The sequence below is a fragment of the Homo sapiens genome, chromosome 2, assembly GCF_000001405.40.
Source record: "Homo sapiens chromosome 2, GRCh38.p14 Primary Assembly".
In the NCBI taxonomy this organism is placed as follows: domain Eukaryota; kingdom Metazoa; phylum Chordata; class Mammalia; order Primates; family Hominidae; genus Homo; species Homo sapiens.
Window position 1 is genome coordinate 151,969,936 of NC_000002.12, and position 12,965 is coordinate 151,982,900.

At 43.7% G+C, this 12,965-nt stretch overlaps 1 protein-coding gene across 22 annotated transcripts in view, besides 1 other annotated feature; it reads right to left on the reverse strand.

Annotated features, from left to right (window-relative positions):
* CACNB4 (calcium voltage-gated channel auxiliary subunit beta 4) overlaps window positions 1-12,965 on the reverse strand; it is a 266,397-nt gene that overhangs the window by 137,165 nt on the left and 116,267 nt on the right. For 3 of the 22 annotated variants that reach the window (NM_001330116.2, NM_001330114.2, NM_001320722.3), the window contains exons 1-2: window positions 3,734-4,043; window positions 1,610-1,769 (exon numbers count right to left, since the gene is read on the reverse strand). The exons of 12 other annotated variants lie outside the window; for them this stretch is intronic. In NM_001330116.2, coding sequence (NP_001317045.1) covers window positions 1,610-1,615 — 6 coding nt within the window. In that variant the 5' untranslated portion in view covers window positions 1,616-1,769; window positions 3,734-4,043. 7 more of the 22 variants (NM_001330115.2, NM_001005747.4, XM_047445798.1 and 4 more) reach the window with 5 other exon arrangements.
* Window positions 8,984-9,528: an enhancer, noted in NCBI's record as "H3K4me1 hESC enhancer chr2:152835433-152835977 (GRCh37/hg19 assembly coordinates)". NCBI's record gives its function as "activates a minimal SCP1, AML or CMV promoter by ChIP-STARR-seq in primed H9 embryonic stem cells {active_cell/tissue: H9 hESC(primed)}" and the evidence as "EXISTENCE:reporter gene assay evidence [ECO:0000049][PMID:30033119]".

Genomic DNA, 12,965 nt, shown 5'->3' on the forward strand with positions numbered 1-12,965 from the left:
GGAAATTGCCCTGAATGATGATCTGATCATCTTTTTCACAGGAAAAGATCAGGTCCCTCTTTCTAAATGCTTTAGAATTTAAGCATTTGGAAATGGAAGCAATTGTGTCAGAGAAATGAACTATTACTCCTATGTGCAACTAACCCCGGCATCACCGTACAATATACCCTAAGAATCCGTATTTCAAGCTACTCACAATTCCAGAAGGTCCATGTAGGAGCTTTAAATTTTGCAAAGTGTCTCCTGTGCAGGCCAGTTCTAGTCCTAGTATGCTCAACATTTTCTCAAGTAAGAACAGCATTTGACAGAATAGGGTGCAACACACAGTAGCAGGTTGAGACTGACCTATTTACATATATGTGGATTGATCATCTGAAAGGGTGTGTAGCAATATATTAACAATGACTATTTCTGGGTGGTAGGTTTTTGGTAACTTTCTCTGCTGCGTCCATGGATCCCCATAAGAACATCCCTCGGTTTGTGTAATAAACCTGATGAATGAAAAAATAAATCTATTTCCAGAATAATTCCACAAACATCAAAATACACAATGAATCCATTTATGAAATACACGTACACACTAAAGAGCAGGTCTAATGAAATCTACTGCAAATCAGATGAAAACACATAGTATAGTGTACATGGGGGGCTCAGTCCATGAAAAAAATCTTGGCCACTAGAACTTGTATTAACACACAGTGGGGACAGTGAAGGTAGAATAGGCAGCTCTTATATAGCAGCTAATGTAGGAAGAGTCGATGTGCATGATCCACTGGAACCAGCCTGGGCTAGGTATGGGTTCATCTGGAAGCACACACTCCATCATCTATGTCAAGGTAATACAAGAAGTAAGGTGACGTTCTGTGTGAAATCTCCTATTCGGAAGTGGGGCCCTGCTGTGGGGCACTGAATGATCTTTTGCACTTCCTTGTAATCCAGATTCTTAACTACCCTCCTGGACACCAAAGCAGAAGTTAATGGACTTGCCCAAAAAGGCTCCACAGGACTCAAGAATCTAAAATGTCCAGCCTGGGCGACAGAGCGAGACTCCGTCTCAAAAAAAAAAAAAAAAAGAATCTAAAATGCCTGACTCAAGTGTGTTTCGGCATGTTTCTTTTTCCTCTCTCTTCACATATAGAGTATGTGAAACACGGAGGTTACAAACTAAAATCTAGGGCACTGGGAGCATAACATCTACTTTTGGACCAAACTCTTAAGAAAGCCTTGCATCACAGTACCAACATCTCTCTCCTACTGTGGGGATGTGAGGTGCTAACAGTGTATAATAATGGTTTACTCTTATTCGGAATAAAATTGTCCCTAGGCAAGATGATCTTATTACAAGCTTACTGTGTGAAAACATTGAAAATAATCACTTATCACAAGTTAACCCCCACACACCCCACAAAGACATTTTCAACAGCACAGAACGGTAGGACATATGCGGATGGTTCCCCAACCCCCACCCCCAACCGAAGTGCCGTACTCAGCTTTTAGTGCCTATATATTCTCGGACTGCAGCTAGCCATCTGAGAAAAGCCTTTCCACGCCTATCCACCAGACCTGTTCCGAGAGCTCTGCTTCCATCTGGACAACCCCCCACACTTACAGCCATAAATGCATTGGCACTGAGAAAGACTGCTGAGGAGGTGGCACTCCAGGTGTGGCTTTATGTGTCACTTCACCAGGTCAGCTATTTAGGCCTAGTCTTCTCCATTGGCTTGAAGCTCTGTTCACACCATCTTGGGTAACACATCACATTATTCTTCCTTATAAAAACAAATAAACTCAAATGAGCATTCAGAGTCAGTTCACCCCTCCGAACATCTCTCTCTTCCCCTGATTTATGTGACACGGTTTCAATCCCGCCCACCTGAAAGCCTCCCATACTCTCAACTGAGGATTGGCCAGATGCCCAACTCCACTCCTCATGTTTCCCACCTTCCTCACCTCCACAGATGTGCACAGCCCGGAGGATCTCAGCCTGCTGGCCACCACTGAGTCACCAGGAGTACAGCACTGCAGTACCTAGCACTACCCGCCATCAACTACTGCCACCGAGTCAAGTCACTGCACTCTTCACTTCCCATCTTACAGAAAAACTCAGCTGTCCTGTGACACTGGACCCAAAGGCAAAAAAAAAAAAAAAAAAAAATGTTTTCATACTTATAATGGCTCCCCTCTGAACCAGTGCATCTGAAATGTATACAGTTCTGGAGAACAAGGAGCTGGATTTATTAGTTCCTAGCCAACTCTTCACAGCAGCCAGTTTCTACAGGCATTTCTAAAATGACTCCAGTCCACTTCGGTGCAATTCACTGCCTGCCCAAGTTTAAAATCAATGGCCGAAAATAAAACTTACAATTCACAAGGCATCATAGGTTTCATAACTGAGTGAGCAGAGAAGGGGTAGAAGAAGTGATCAGGCCTTCTGAAGAAACCAGCCCAGGAAGCTGGCTTACTGAACTCCTGTAATTGCCTTTGCCATTCCCCCACCCCACCTGCAAGTGTGGACCTTCTTGATTTCAGCCACCAATGTTTCAGACTACAGTCCCTTACAATACACTGACAGTCTGATCATTTATGAGCACGTTGGGCAACACGCAGAGAGACTTTGCGGAAACAGAGTTAGAGTTAGAGAAAACACACAGACAGGAAGGAAAAATGGAATGCCTTAACAGAACTGAGGATTTCTATCTTTCATGGATAGCACATCATTAGACATATACGTCTGCATTGACGTATACCACAGGGTTTTTTTTTGTTTTTTGTTTTTTTTTTGTTATAACCTGTTTATTTGGTGGTTTAGCCAGAGAATCTTATATAACACACTCCTGTTTCAAATGTAGCAACATGTATTGGCACTGCACTCACATAAAATTCAGACTCCCCACAGCACTTCCCATTAACCACCCCCAGCCATTCTACCTTGCGAGGTTTCTGTGTATTGATGAAAAAAATAGGAACTACCACCAGCAAGAGTCAAAAGAAAGATTCAATTATCAGCTTTACCTTATATTTAAAAGCTAGCACTCTATGGTATGATTTCAGGGATTTCAGGAAATTATTTCACCCTGATTTTAACAGATTGCATGAGCCTGACCTAGGGGGGAGAAGGAGTCCAGTTCTCTAACCCAAAACACACGTGAGTCTGCTTCGCTCTTCCAAGGTAGAGTATAGGAACACTGCCCACTGCCTCTGCACTGGATTGCTGTATGGCCACAAGCCTAGCATCTGATTTCCTTAACAAAGAAGCAGTATATCTGCACTGCTTGTTTGGCCAGAAAGCACATAATAATACAGCCACAGCTTAGGAACTTCCATTCATGCTAGCTCAACAAACAATGTGTATTATATAATGAATGAGGCTTTTCTATGAACCCTGCTATTGGAAAACATAGGCACTTTCTGCATAGTTTAAACCAGTCTGCAAGGAGCAGTTACCCCTGGTGAGATCAAACGTGGACCCGGTAATGTATAAATTCAAACAGCCTACACTCTTGAATGCTTTGCCATCACCCTAATTTCTTTTTTGCTTGACAATAAATAATTTTAGTTACCTATAAACTACACAGAGAACATTTACACAGCAGCCAGCAAGCCCCAGAATGATGTTAGCTTTCTGCTCCATGTTCCCTGCGTTGCCTAAGAAATAAGAAGCGGGGGGGTGGAGGGGATAGTGGGAGGAGGAAGAGGAGGGGAGAGGGAATTAGCTATCTATGAAAATACTTACAGCCTCCGAGTCTTCAATTCCATGCAGGTACAAATTGTCATACATGGAGGTGTGATAATCCAGAGCACCTCTTTCAAGGCAAAAACAAAATTGCTGCAGAAACCACAGCTACAGCTTAAAGAGAAAAGGCCTGTTTGGGAGAACTGCGCCTGCCTTATCAATTCCTGTGGATTTACCAGGCAAGATGCTATTCATTCACATCCCACAGGGTGAGGTTATCCCCAGAGGCAGTCCAGACCTGGCATTTTATCTGCCTTCCCAATACAGAGCACAAAAAGCAAAACCCTTCCTCAACCACAGACTGGTGACTGAGCTAGGAAAGCGGCCTCTGATTGGCTCGGCTTCCCTGCTTCAGTCAGCTGAAGAGCGTTCCCTCGGAGAGTGGAGGGCGCCTCGGAGCATCCTACCCAGCAAAGAGCTGCTTCCTGTTTCGCCTGTATTGTTAGTTCTACAATAAACACTTATCAATATCCAAAAGGCTGCGTGGAATGTTTGGAAAGGCAAACTATTGAATACTCCAAACACAACTGCTCATCTTCTTAATTAAATTCACAATTGGAGAAGGGAGCAAAGGAAAGATTTTATTTTCAGAGAATATCATGTAAAGACAGGTAAACAGATACTAATCTCATCCAACATCTGTACTTAACAGATGCATTTAAGTCAAAAGGGCAATGAGTCATAAAAAAAATCTTTACACCCAATGTGAAGAAAAAAATGACTAGAATAAACAGATGGTAAGATTTCTTGTGGGAATTTCTATAGTAAAAGTTTTCAATATTCTCGTTGAAGTCTCTCTGCCTCACTGGCAAGAAAAGAGCTCTGTGTCCCAACTGGTGAAGTTTGAAAAGGAAGCCAAAAACTTCTCAACTTTTAGATGTGAAATGTTTAATGCTCTTTAGTTGAATGTTTTTAAATCAACTTTAAGCAACAGCCAATGTCTTCACGTAAATTCTTCATCCCCTTCCCATGCACAAATCTTTAATAATCCTGAAGTGGCATTGGTCTTTTCCCCAAAACCCAAATAGAAACGTCAGACTCCCTCCACCTGCTGCTCCACACCGCAACTCAGGTGACCTAGGACAGGTCCCACATTGCAGCAGCCTGGGATGAGTTTCTCTAGGTACTTAGAACTTTCTGGTCAACCAAAAAAAAAAAAAAAAAAAGCTGCAGCTTTGAAACAGGAGAGCTTTATGGCCCACTCTAAAAGTAGCCAGCTAAATTCAGGAGGACAAAGAAGCTGGTGAGGAGCACAGAACATATTTTAGAGAAGCTGCATGACTGACTGGGTAAGTAATGACCCAGAAACTCAGAGGCTCTAAGTCCCCTGTATCAGCTTTGCCACTAATTGGTCAGATGACTCTGGACCAGTCAGTCACCATCTTGATGGGCTCTGGTTTCTTCACCCGCCAAAATGAGGTAAGAAATAACTTAGGGAAAGAACTCTGCAAATCTAAAGTGCAACATAAACACTTACCATTGAGAAGCTGCTTTGTCAGCTGGAAGGCACTGGCTGCAGTTCATGGGAGCTCAGCACAAGAGTAACTGGCTGGCCCTGGATCTAGGAAAGGAGGCCTGTCCTTCCAGCCAGTATCTCTGAAAAGCGTAACTCTTAAAGGAACAAACCTGAGTCAAAATAATAACACAACAGCTACAACAGCTGAGCAGAGCATAGTTCTTCCAGGTCTGTGCTGACCCGTTCATGTCTTTCAATCACAGTCGCACATCTTGGGAGTGGCATCAATACCTAGTCCACTGTCAAATATAAATGATAGCAAGAAGATATTGCTGTCCTTCAGAATCCTAAAATGGTAGGGTTTGAACAGATTGTCACCTCTGAGATTGTGCCCCCATGGAGGGAGGACAGCAGCAGGGGATGAGTGCAGTCAACGGGATTCCATAGAGAGAAACCCAGTGCTGGCTCTACCTGTCGACAAGGATGCATGTTGGAGAAAGTCCCTGGCCACGTGGAACCTCGGTTCCCTCCCCCATACACCAAGAGGACCAGATCAAAGGGCTGCTGTGCTCAAATTCATGTGTCAGACTCTTATTTTAATTATTAACTCTCTAATTACAGCCATACGGTATTTCAACCAGAATCAACAGAAAACTGAGACAAGAGGTTCTTTTTTTCTCTTAAATTCTCCAGATCATTTCCCGACTTTACCACTTCAATTGCAAGTATAGATATTCCCCGATTGTGTTAAAATGGACATCTAAATTAAGGGGAGAAGACAGAGGCAGCCCACTTTCACAATTCACCAAGATGAGACAAATTGTTCCCAACTGGATAAACTGTACATAGCTCGGCTCTTCTGTGGATGGCTGCCGTGGAGCGCTCCCTATAGCCAATGTGAGGGCCTAAAGGAAGTTTTAAAGAGCAGGGGCGCACTTTACGGTACCCTAATGCATGCAGTCAGCGAGTCTGACCAGGGAGGGATGTTAGCAGGGAGGCACTGGATCACATATAGCAGCCTGTGGTTGCTCCTGCACCCAACCCCTCTAACTAAGAATAGATGTGAAGGGGCAGGCTCTGCCTGCTTTCCAGGAAGTCAGAAATGTGCTGGACTCAGAATCATAAACTGTAAGAGGTGGGAAAACACCAGGAGTTGCCTTATCTGGCCTTTTAGTGCCTACAAAGGTTCAATTACTTTATTCAAAGCCATATGTTCTATACTGGAGTGTTCCTTCCCCCACTTCCTCCGTGATAAGAGTTTTCAAGATGAGGGGCAGTAGGCGTGTTCCCAAGAGGAATTTGGTGAAATAGAGAGAAGTCACTTTTTTGGGGAAATTCCTATTTTTCCCACGCCTTCCATTCTAAAAAATTATCCCATCAGAAGTCATTTTGTTCACCCACAGCTGATAACTAAAAATCAGATCACAGGTTGGGGAGTCTTCCCCTAGGGTCTGGATCTACACAGAATCAGCACCACACCTGTGAGTCACCTAAGGGTTTCAACCCAATACTCGGGCTGATCCCAGAGTTCCAGAGGAACCCCAGTGAGACGCTCAGCTCTGAACCTCCCCAGAGGAACTCTAAGGAGTTCCAGAAAAGTGAGCTCAGAACTCTAGAAAGATCTTAGAACTGACTATCTCTGCCCCAAGATTCTCTAAACTGAGACCAGGCTGAGAAGTAGTGAGACGTCCCTGGGAGCTTCCCGAGCCTGTTTCAGATCAGCTCCAGTCCCCAGCTTTTAGTAAAAGGGTCTATGGATTCCAGCAAGTTCAAGTTCCTAGGGCCAAATTTCACACTTCACTGCAGCAGGTAGTGAAAAGCAACCAAGACACTGGCACCTTCTTGGTTTTGACTTTAACAGTTCTCCAGCTGAATGATGGTCAAGAAGATGAAAGAGAAACCACCCCGTTTCTGGCCTACTTCTCCCACCTGAGGTTACAGTGAGAACAAGTTTGAAAACCTTGGGGCTCATCTTGTGCTGGTGCTTCCCAGGAACCCACCTACCTCTCATTACTGAGTAGCCTCCAAAACTGCATAGCCTCAAGGAGGCTGCCTCTGATTCTGAGAATGCCCTGTTAAATGTGTTTCTGACTCAACTCTTTTCCAGTTATCTCTCATTATGATCAACAGTTCAAAGTCAAAAAAAGCCCTATGAAAAAGCATCATCTCTATGATTCTGTTTATAAATGCCACGTGATTCATGATGGGGAAGGTATCCTTGCAATTTGACAAATGCCTCCACTGAGCTAAATTAAGTGGAGGAAATGGCATGTCCCTCAACAAATTAGGACAGCTCTATTTTGTATCACAAGGACACATTATTTTCAGTTCTTTTTCATGGGCTTCAAACTTAGGGATATTAAGTCCCTTTTCCTTACCCGTGCTGGGCTTTATCATAGAGTGAACCCATGAAATTGACAGTAGAGTACAAAGGACAGGTATTTCTGTTTTCCACTTGTTTGGACAGAGAGAAGAAGGAGAGAAAAGCCAAAGTGAGAAGATTAGCTATTAGCTATGAGATTTAAATAGCCATGATCAAGACAAACTGGTGCAGATTTAGAAGCAAAAGGCAATTCTGATTCTAATTTTCCACCTAAATTTCTCGGGAATTTAACTTTTCAAAGCCAGTGTAGTTATGCGTTCTATAGCAGAACTGCAAGAACTCAGAGAAGAGACAAAGGAATAATGTTGGGACTCAGCCAAGGCTAGCCCTCCTGTTGGCTCCACGGGCTAGAACACAAGCCCAAGGTCTCTGTTTGCCAATTCAGCCTTGGGAATTATTTTGTTGTTTGTTTTTGTTTAAATTTTACTAAGTGACTACAGTGTGCTAGATGAATTTTCTCATCTTCTGCTCTGCAAGTAATAGTACTCCACTCCTTTGCCTCTAGAAATCTGTGTGGCATTGCAAGAATGAATATCATAACCCTGTTTCCTCCCTGGAGCCCATCAGATAGGTGGTAGCAACAGGGCAGACAAGGGAATGAAAACAAAACAAACAAACAAAAAAACTACAGACAACAGATTCCACTTCTATTAGTCCTCTGCTGTAGTTCTCTGAGGCGGAGCTCAGCTTACCAACTAGGCAGGCATGTCCAGAGTCTCTCCAGGCCCCATGAAGACCATGGAGATAATAGTTTTGAAATTAATGAGTTAAGATATGAAAGATACATAGGAGGCAGTGTGGAAGAATTGGCCTTTTTAATTTTTTTAAGGGAAGAAGTATGGAATCAGGGCAGCCCACATTGCCCAGCTCCAAGGGCCCCATGCACCCCATGTGAATGGTCCTCCCTGTGATATGTAACAAGAATACCATGAAGCAAAGTGCTTATGAGCAGGGACCCTGGAGCCAGACTGCCTGCATATCCCAGCTGTGCCACTTCCCAGCAGGGTAACGCTCAGTAAGCTACTCTACCTTCCTGTGCCTCCATTTCCTCACTTACAAAATGAGGATTCTATCAAGAAGATTGTGCAAATTAAAAGCCTTGGTCTAATAAAACGTTCGGATGGGTACCTGGCACCAACTGTGCTCCACAAGCAAGCACAGGGCTGCTATGGTAGTTCTCATCATTCTCCGCCTGGGTTCTGGCCTAAAGCCCTGATGCCCTTGCCTCTAGGGTGGGATTGCTAAACCTTGCCCCTGATGCCGGCCTGGTCCTCTCAATCCCACCAGAGTCTCAGGTCTCAGCCGCCAGAGCTGAGCCCAGCCTCCTGCTGCCCTCATACCTTCATGCCAGCTCCTGCCGGCAGCCTACCTGCTCTATCTGGCCAGGCTGACTGCTCCTCGTGCCAAGGCTGTCATGCTTGCCCAGACCTCCTCCACCTAGTGACAGCACCCCCGCCCTCAGCCACCCCACTGAACGCTGTGTGTTTCCTCTGTACCTGGGTGTACCCAGCGCTCTCCCACTGGCCTCCTCAATTGTCTGGAATCTTGCTCCATCATCCCCACCAGCCACTCCTGGACCACCCCACCCTGTCACAAAACACTGCCCAGAAGACCGTCCTCATGAAAATCCTGTAACAAATGCTACTGCTGGTTCATGCCAAAGAGGCAAAAGAAGAGGAAGAACAGCAGAGAGAAACAAGCGGAGACAGGGATAAAGAGGCAGAGACAGAAAACCCTAGAGACGTGCAGAGGAAAAGTGAATATATGGACTAGCTCCCCTCCTCCCTGCCATTCTTGATGGCTTCAGGAAAAATAATACTTCATAATTCATAAGAGAGTGAGTGTAGGCAAGGTAAAAAAAATTCCCATGGCCTATTCAACTTGCCAGAAAATGACAGATCCCTCTCTGTGATTGACTTATTACTCAGAAAGCTCTTTCTAAAATTTCAGTTAAAAAAAAAAAAAAGAGCCAATCTCTTAGAAAACACATTCCATAAAGCCACAATTTTCATGAATGCTACCCAACTTTACTTTCCACTATTCTCCAAAATGAATCTAGGAGATTAGTTCAGCTGGTCACCTTCCCATTGCCTATATATTGTTTAGCTGATATTATTATCAGTGCTGATCTACCAATTACAGCTTCGAATTGTTGACTGGTCCACACTACTGGAGAGACTGGAATGTGAAGATCAATGAGAAATGATGGCATCTCCCTGGGGACAGACAGGGATGGCGTGGCAGCAACACTGAAGATCCTGAAGACAGAAATTGAACCAAGGAGATGGTTGCAATCAAAGCTCTCACATTTTGAGAAGCTCTGATGAGAGCCAGAGAGTAATTTGATTCCTTATCTGCAAAGCTTCAGCAGGAGTGGGAGGCAGGAAAGGGGGAAGGAAAGGAACAGTGTCACTCATGGAGCAGGGCAGAAATAAATCAGCCACCAACTTACTACTCAGCCTTGCGCAAACCACCTCCCTAAAAGGTGGGACTCCTTCAGTTCCATGATTCCAGATTTGCTATAAAGAGTAAACAAAACTGTTTAACGTAAAATTAGTAAAACTTTATTTTCTATTTTGTTACTGCTTTTAGGTAACAATTTATGTTTTTGCCTCCCAGGAGTTTTTCTCTTTGATTTGATAACACGATTAATAATAAGCATCCATAAATGCTTGTTTAGCACCTAATATTTCCTCTAAACAAAAATCAGTCAGCTCCATTTCAAAATCTTTCGGTGGCTTCCCATCGAAAAACCCAAATCCTTAACAAGGTCTAGTGTGTAGTGTGGCCCCAACACTTCTCTTCTGACAGCCCTCATTTTGCAAGCCTTTCCCCTTCACTCTCTCCAAGTTGGCCTTCTTGGACACATCACACCCCTTCCCACCACTGGGCTTTGTTGCTTCTGAGCCCCTTGCCTAGAGCCCCACACCTCCTCTCAATCTGCCCCCATTAGTTTGCATTAGTGCAATTGGTGAATTAATAGCTGTCTTTTAAATGTGAGTTCTGTGGGAAGACAGACCAGGATATCTTTTTACACACCATTATATCCCCACTGCCTAGCACATAGGCTTTCCACAAATACGTGAATAGTTAATGATGGCCCTGAGCTCCTTGGCTACCTTTGCACTTTGGTTGACAAAACAGTGCAGTGACTGGCAAAAGAGCTCACAAAGTGAAATATGGGTATTTTTTAGAGCTAAGAAAACCCAGAACATGAGCATCCCTAAAGGGTCCTTACCAAACTATCTTCATGTCCTGATTGGGACACAATGGTCCTGTTCAGATTCAGATTCTTACGAACTAAATAATCTAGGTGTGACATAGAGTTGTTTTAACAGAGTCTTTATTTCAAGGGAAACATCATTTATAGTGCGTTGATGGAGTTTTTGGTTTTGGTTCTTGGTTTTTTAGTGTTGAGGACAAGAACCCATGATCTTTCACACTTCACCCTTTGCACAAGATGTCCCCTCTGTCAGGGAGGCCACCTTCACTCTGTCCCCTACCCCGACTGCTTCTATTTGGTGAACTCATTCCTTCTTTAAGGTCAAATGTAAATGTCACTAACTTCTCCAACCCCTCAGACATTAGCCAGTCCTTCTCCCATACTTCCATAACACTCTATCTCCCACACCTCTACCAGTGGGCGAATCACATAATAGTGTAATTCTTTCATTACAAGATGAACAGCTCAAGAGCAAGAACCATGTCTTACTCAGCTTCACACCCCACATGCTTCATTCCATAGAAGATCCTCAACAAATATTGGTTAAGGAACTGAACAGCAAACATGAAAACAAAATTCACACTGTGAGCCTTGATGTCGTTGCCTCCATCATAATGCATGCAGCCTAGTCTAGTAGATATTTGAGGCCTTAAAGTCAGTCAGTGAGCCAAGGAAATCTGTGAGGTCAATTTCAGAGCCGCTGCAGATTTAGAAAACAAATACAAAATGGAAACTGATGTCAGGAATTCAGGTCTGAGCGGAACTCCTGTCGGTGGTAGGGGCTCTTCTTGGGTGGAATCTATGGGAAGAGGGGATATTGGTAGATAATGGATAGATGGTAGCAATAAGGTCCTGAGGTATTTTCCTCAGAACATATTTTTGGAGAAACACTTATTTACCTTTGAAAAAGTGTGCCAGAGCATGTATCCCTTAAAGGCAGGAACTATGTTTTACTCATCTTGTTGATATACCCCTCTTTTGATGCAGTGCCTATTACAACTTAAAAATAGTTAAAGTTTAATAACTACATTGCAAAAAGCCAACTAAGCTGGTATAATATAGATAATCTTCACAGTAGAGCATTCACTGAAGGAACCACATGTCTCAAGCACCAGGCAGCAAGCGTGCTAAAACCTCAACAATGGAGTAGAAAAATCTAGCTGACTCTAAAATACTGAGCTTAGAGTAGCGACACTCATTCTAGATCCCTCCTGCAAGCAGATCTAAAGCTTTTAAAGTACTGCTAAACATGGATAGAATTATCTCAAGCAATGGATTAGTCTTAGCCCTCAGGTTGCAAGCTTTCAGTTTCTGCAACATGGTGTCAGGTATGAAGAAAATGGAGGTTTGGGTGCACACTGCTGAACTTTGACCTCTCTATTATTCTAGGTGGCAGAGATGACTAAAAGCTCCAGTATTCTTTCTCCATTTCCCCCATTTAGCATTAAGCCATTCCACCTTCAATTTTAGCAAGGCTAAAATTTAGCAAGGTTCTTCAACTAGAAATTATACCTCACAGCCTCCCTTGCAACTAGATGTGACTGTGTTCTTGCCAATACAATAGGAGTGAAAGTCATGTGTCCAACTTACACATTACACCCTTAAAAAGATACTGACTGCCAGCCGGGCACAGTGGCTCACACCTGTAATCCCAGCACTTTGGGAGGCCAAGGCGGGCAGATCACGAGGTCAGGAGATTTAGACCATCCTGGCTAACACAGTGAAACCCTGTCTCTACTAAAAATACAAAAAAATCAGCCAGGCGTGGTGGCTGGCGCCTGTAGTCCCAGCTACTTGGGAGGCTGAGGCAGGAGAATGGCCTGAACCTGGAGGCGGAGCTTGCAGTGAGCTGAGATTGCACCACTGCACTCCAGCCTGGACGACAGAGCGAGACTCCGTCTCAAAAAAAAAAAAAAAAAAAAGATACTGACTGCCTTCCCATTCCTTTGGATGTGGTGCTGATGAAACAACTTCCAGCATACAGATGAGGAACTCACCTTAGGGAAGAAAAGTTAATAGGATAAAGAAGCTTCTGCATTGTTAGATGAAAGAGAAAGTCATTTCCATCTTATTGAGGCAACTTTATTTAGGGGTCTCTTGTTGAGCGGCTCAACCTGACTAATTCCAGCTGCAAAAGTAAAAATATTGAGGTCAGTAGAATAGGAATAAA